Source organism: Homo sapiens, chromosome 9, assembly GCF_000001405.40.
Source record: "Homo sapiens chromosome 9, GRCh38.p14 Primary Assembly".
In the NCBI taxonomy this organism is placed as follows: domain Eukaryota; kingdom Metazoa; phylum Chordata; class Mammalia; order Primates; family Hominidae; genus Homo; species Homo sapiens.
The window spans coordinates 84,172,383-84,178,490 of record NC_000009.12 but is presented as its reverse complement, the minus strand read 5'-3'; the positions used below and the strand labels follow the sequence as shown (position 1 = coordinate 84,178,490).

Here is a 6,108-nt window from a genome sequence, read left to right as displayed (position 1 = left end):
CAGCCATAAAAAAGGATGAGTTCATGTCTTTTGCAGGGACATGGATGAAGCTGGAAACCATCATTCTCAGCAAACTAACACAAGAAGAGAAAACCAAACACCACGTGTTCTCACTCATAAGTGGGAGTTGAACAATGGGAACACATGGACACTGGGAGGGGAACATCACACACTGGGGCCTGTTGAGGGGTGGGGGGCTGGGGGAGGGATAGCATTAGGAGAAATACCTAATGTAGATGACGGGTTGATGGGTGCAGCAAACCACATGGCACATATATACCTGTGTCACAAACCTGCACGTTCTGCACATGTATCCCAGAACTTAAAGTATAATTTTAAAAAAAGTGTGCCAGGGGTCCCCAAGATCACCCCCTAGTTTGATGACTCACTAAGAAGATTCACAGGACTCAGCGAATAGTGATAATCATGGCATATTAGTCTATTCTCAAGATGCTATGAAGAAATACCCGAGACTGGGTGGTTTATACAGAAAGGAGGTTTAATTGACTCGCAACTCTGCATGGCTGGTGAGGCCTCAGGAAACTTACAATCATGGTGGAAGGCACCTCTTCACAGTGCAGTAGGAGAGGGAATTAATGCCAGCAGGGGAAATGCCAGACACTTATAAAACCATCAGATCTTGTGAGAACTCACTCGCTATCATGAGAACAGCATGGGGAAAACTGCCCTCATGCTTCAATTACCCCCGACAGGGTCCCTCACATGACACACAAGAATTATGGGATTACAATTCAAGATGAGATCTGGATGGGGATGCAAAGCCAAACATTATCACATGGCTATGATTTTTTATACCAAAAGGATGCAAAGCGAAACCAGCAAAGGGAAAAGACACATGGAGCAAAGTCTGCAGGAAATAGAAACAGGCGGCTAAAAGTCCTCTCCCAGTGGAATTGCACAGGACATGCTTATCTCTTCCAGCAATGAGCAGTGATAACACTGGTAAAATGTTGTCTACCAGAGAAGCTCAGAAGAGACTTGACACCCAGGGCTTTCATCAAAGCTGGGCACACAGGCATCCCTGGCCTAGTAGATACCAAAATTCCAGACTCCCAGAAGGAAAGCAGGTATCCTGCATAAACGATGTTATTGGTACAAACAATTTAGGCACTGTGAGCCTCTATTATCAGCTTTGGAAACGGTGGGAACCCCCTCAAAATCCAAGTTCCCTGACACCAGCCAAGGAACAACCTTGCAAGCAGGTCTTTCTAAAGACAGCAGCCTTGGGGTTGCTATGTTAAGTGTTTTCTGCAGTAAAGGTTATAGGGTTAAAAAGTAAAGATAGCTCAACAGTGTCTTTTTTGTCACTATTCTCCATTAAGTGGGGCTATGGGCTGACTTGAGTCCTCCCAAAATTCATATGTTGACACCCTAACCCCCAATAACTCAGAATGTGACTGTGTTTGGAAACAGGCTTTTTAAAGAGGTAGTTACATTAAAATAAGGTCATTAGGGTAGACCCTAATCCAATAGGACTGATGTCCTTATGAGAAGAGATTAGGACAGAGACGCAGGCAGAAGACTGTGTGAAAACACCGAGAGAAGACAGCCCACTACAAGCCTTAGAAGAAACAGCACTGCAGACACCTTGATCTCAGGATCGTGAGGAAATAAATTTCTGTTATTTAAGCCCCACAGTCTGAGGTACTTTGTTATGGCAGCACTAGCAAACCATCCAAGTTGGCAAAATGGAATCTGAGCTTGGATAACCCACAACAGGTCATTATTTATAACTATTGAAAATGTGGTCATTTAAAAAATAACAATAAGTTGCATTTATTGGATTTCCCCCATACTATATTCACATGCCATGCTGTAGCTAGAACAAGTTGAGGCAGACGGGTTCAGGGCGCCACCCAAACCCCTTTAGCCAACCCCAGAGGTCACTTCAAACAAATCCTGAATACACCATCAGCCTCCTGGGTCTCTCCACCGCAGAACTGTGTGCAGGTGCCCCGTAGGCACCGGACACACCTGAGAGTCAATGTTCCAGAGGTGACCTTCCATTCATGACCTTCCTGTCAGAAGGGACAGGAGTTGGTGGTTTAATACCCTGGTTTCCTCTTTTCAGCAACACACTTCTGAGGTGCACTCAGCAGACTCTGAGACGTCCACACAGGGCTGAGTCCACAGTGGTAATGTGCTGCCAAATGCTCCTTGTGTTGGTGATTTCCTCAAATCGTTCTCCATTAACTGCTTCTGCCCTCCATGTTACGGATAGAATTGAAGAAAAAACTCAGGGTTTCTCAATGCCAAATCCAAGAACATGTTCCATGTGATTACTTAGAAAGCATTTCACCAAAACGTTTTTCCTCAAGTATATTCAGATATATTCTACCCATCCTTTCTTTCTAGACATTACTATCAGTTGTCTCCATTTCAGCCCCTGGTGTATGCTTATGACCAGGGCACATTGCCTTGTGGTTAAGGATGTGAGTTTTGGAATCAGAGATTCTAGGTTCAAATCCCGCATCCTCCCCTATAGAATGCCTCTCGGAATTGATGGAGAAGAACAAGCAGCGTGGCAGCCACAGAGCAAGCACTGAATGTATGTGAGGTTCCATTATTGTACCATGAGCAAGAGGTTCCATTCCAAGCTGGGGGGAGGGAAGGTGGGATCCTTCCAAACTGCCGTCTACCTCAGTGACTTTCTCTCTCCAGCACTGCAGGATGAGAGGCCAAGGAAACACTGTCCTGAAACCATCCTCGCTCTTTTCAAGTGTTCTGCAGAGAGGGCACTCTGCCCCATCTTCTGCATTCCACCTGGGGCTGCGAGTCCCAGATGCCACTCTGTAAATATCAAGTGCCTCCTAATAACAAAACTCAAAATCTGGGAGGGCAGACAGACCACAAGGAGCAGGCTGACGAGCACTTTCTGAACCTCTTCAGTTTGTTTATGTCTCCAAGGCCTGCTTTTAGTCTCAGCCAATGTTCATGTAAAAACTTTCTCTCCACTGGAGATAATGATGCTTAAAAGACTCATGGCAGGAGGGACTCTGTGGGTGGAGCAGTCAAAAGAGCAGAGTTTTGGGGGTCAGAGAGACCCCAGTGAAAATCCTGGCTTTGCCCTTTAATAACTGCTTTGTCTGGTAAGTTTCATCTCTTCGCTCAAGTGGAGATGACACTGCCTTCTTCACAGGGCTGCAGCCACAATTACAGATGGCAGTGAAAAGGGCTTTGCTCATCAACTGGCCTAAAGGACTGTTTTTATGACAGATAAATCCCAAAACTTAATGTTACTTATTTCTAATCTCTTCTACTTTAGCCCTGGAGAAATGTTGCTGAAAAGGAACAAAACATCTGATTAGACTTTATTTCTTTTTTAAATCTTTCTTTCTCTATTTCAGACTTTAACTAATGGGAAAGTGGCCACAAGTATGTTGAACAGAAAAGGAGAGAGAACAAAGGGTTTCGATAACCCACAAACTATACCTGCTATTCTAGGTGGGCCGAATTTTGTCCAGCATCAAGTAGACAGATACTCAAAATGAAAAATATGCTTTATTTGTGGATGTCAGAAAAGATTTAATTAGAGGCAGCTTTAAAAACTGGGTGATTAGGGTCAAGCAATTTCATTGACACATTAAATAAGACTTACAGTTGAGTATCATGCCAAAGTTAACTACTTAGAACTACCAATATGTACGAAATCTGGGTAGATGAGACTGCTGGTATTACCCAATATCTATTCTCTTCTTCCACAGCAAGAGAATTTTTAGCTGAGCATATGAACTCCCAGAATAATAACTGCATTTCTTACCCTCTCTTGCAGATAGGTGTGGTCAAGTTATTAAGTTCTAGGCAAAGAAATGTAAGAGGAAGTGGTGTATGCAACATCACAGAAGTGTCCTTATAGGGAAGCTTCTTTTCCTCCTTTCTGCTGGCTGGAATGGGGACATGATGGCTTGAACTGGAGAAGCCATTCAATGTTCCCTGGTATTATGAATAATCACACCAGCCCCTAGACCATTTACTCAGACTTTCACATGAAAAAAATAAATTTCCATCTTTGTTCCACCACTCATTATTTTGGATTTTCTGTTGCTCACAGCTGATTCTAATCCTAATTCAGTCTGGGTGGCATGAATATACAATTGGCTGTGAATTGTTGAATTTCTTGATTTTTTTAATGCATCAAAATCAGGCATTAAAATGCATTGGCTTGGTTTTCTGTATTTGCTGTTTCTGCTATTAACAGAAGTCCTGCTTTATGAAGCAACAGGAACTGCCTTGGTTATTGTTTATATAAAATTTGCTTTGCATGTACAAAAATCTCATTTATCTTGCCATCTGATACTTGGTAGATTTGGGTGTTTAATGGATCTTTGTTACCAAATATTTTTTCACTCATTGTATACAGATGCTGCTCTTGGGCTATAGCCATCCTTCCTAACAAGCAAAAATCCTCAGAAGATATTTCCAGGTTTTTTTATTGAGGATGCGGGTGGTGATGGATAGCTCATCTCCCCGAAGTCATCCAGTAACCCAATTCTACAGACACTTTTTTTGTTGTTGTTGTTATTTGGATCAGGGCTCCATCTCCTCATTCCTCTCCTTTGTTTTATTTTTTGCTTTTTTGCAACAGAAACAGAGATCTGAATTACATTAATAAAATAGAAAAACAGAGTGTCTGCCTGTCCTCCCCCTCTCCCTCTCTTCCTTCCTTTTTTTTTTCCTCTCTCTCTCTCTCTCTTGACTTTGAGTGAAATATGCCTTTCTAAGACTAAGGCAAATGAACTTTTGGGAGGAAGAGGATCCAAATACATAAAACTTTGCATAATCTCTCAAGGGCTGGTGAGCCCCTGGGAGTCTTTTCAGGAACACTGAATTAAGGACCAGTGTCCTTGAGTTTATTCCAGAAAGCTGGAAGCGCTCCAGTTTACAGGTAACCTCAAGCTCTAATACAATTATCCCCCATTCACACTCTCCCTTTGTGATTTGTCAAATACCCGAATACCATTACTTTCCACTTCGGTTTAAATTGACTCACTTTTGAAACTTAAGCTTCACTAATATCCATGAAATCACAGATACGGTGTGCAATTTATATTTTTTCTAATACATGTTAAAACACATGGCCATTAAAATAAAAGTATGTGCCCATGTGCCATTGTTTTAGGTTGGGTTGAGACTAGGACTAGAGTACAAATCATCTATTTGAGAGGTGTTCCCAAGAAGCACCACTAGGGGGCCGGGGAAATAAGTGTGAAGAGAGGAAAGTCAATCCAGGGAGCATTACGGTCTTTGGGGTTGCATCCCTGCGGACCCCCTAAGAAAGCTGGAGAATGAGCCTCAGAGTTTTACCCACCATCTTCCCTTCGTCATTCTTTGAAAGCTACTCTCGTGGATGTGACCATTAACTCCTACCACTGCAGGCCCGCTGTGAAGGTGGGCAAGCCAGCTCCTGCAATCTGAGTTACAGACATTTGCAGTTAAGAAGCCGTCAGCACAGGCCGGGCCGGGCGCGGTGGCTCACGCCTGTAATCCCAACACTTTGGGAGGCCGAGGTGGGCGGATCACGAGGTCAAGAGATCAAGACCTTCCTGACCAACATGGTGAAACCCCGTCTCTACTAAAAATACAAAAAATTAGCTCGGCATGGTGGCGGGCGCCTGTAGTCCCAGCTACTCGAGAGGCTGAGGTAGGAGGATCGCTTGAACCCGGGAGGCGGAGATTGCAGTGAGCCGAGATTGCGCCACTGCACTCCAGCCTGGTGACAGAGCGAGACTCCGTCTCAAAAAACAAACAAACAAAAAACAGAAGCCATCAGCACAGCGAGGAACTGCAAGTGCCTAGGTAGTTTGCTTAGGGCACTAACCATATCTGCTTCAACTACCTAATACATCTTGCATCCCACCATTAGGATATATGCTGCATGTTGGACAATCCTATACAAAGGACCTGAAACCAATGTTTTTTAGCATAAGAGGACAATTTGGTCAGGTGGAGTAGGCATCTAGCTACATATTATAATTTTTTAATGTCAGAAAACGTCCCCTCCACAAATAGATCTCCTTTTGAAACTCCTCCCCCTCCACTTCATCCTTTCTTCTCAAAGTAAGGTGCTAAAGTCTTTTCGCGGGAAAT

At 43.5% G+C, this 6,108-nt stretch overlaps 1 annotated feature.

The window, feature by feature from the left end:
* Positions 5,003 to 5,512: an enhancer, noted in NCBI's record as "H3K4me1 hESC enhancer chr9:86787894-86788403 (GRCh37/hg19 assembly coordinates)". NCBI's record gives its function as "activates a minimal SCP1, AML or CMV promoter by ChIP-STARR-seq in naive H9 embryonic stem cells {active_cell/tissue: H9 hESC(naive)}" and the evidence as "EXISTENCE:reporter gene assay evidence [ECO:0000049][PMID:30033119]".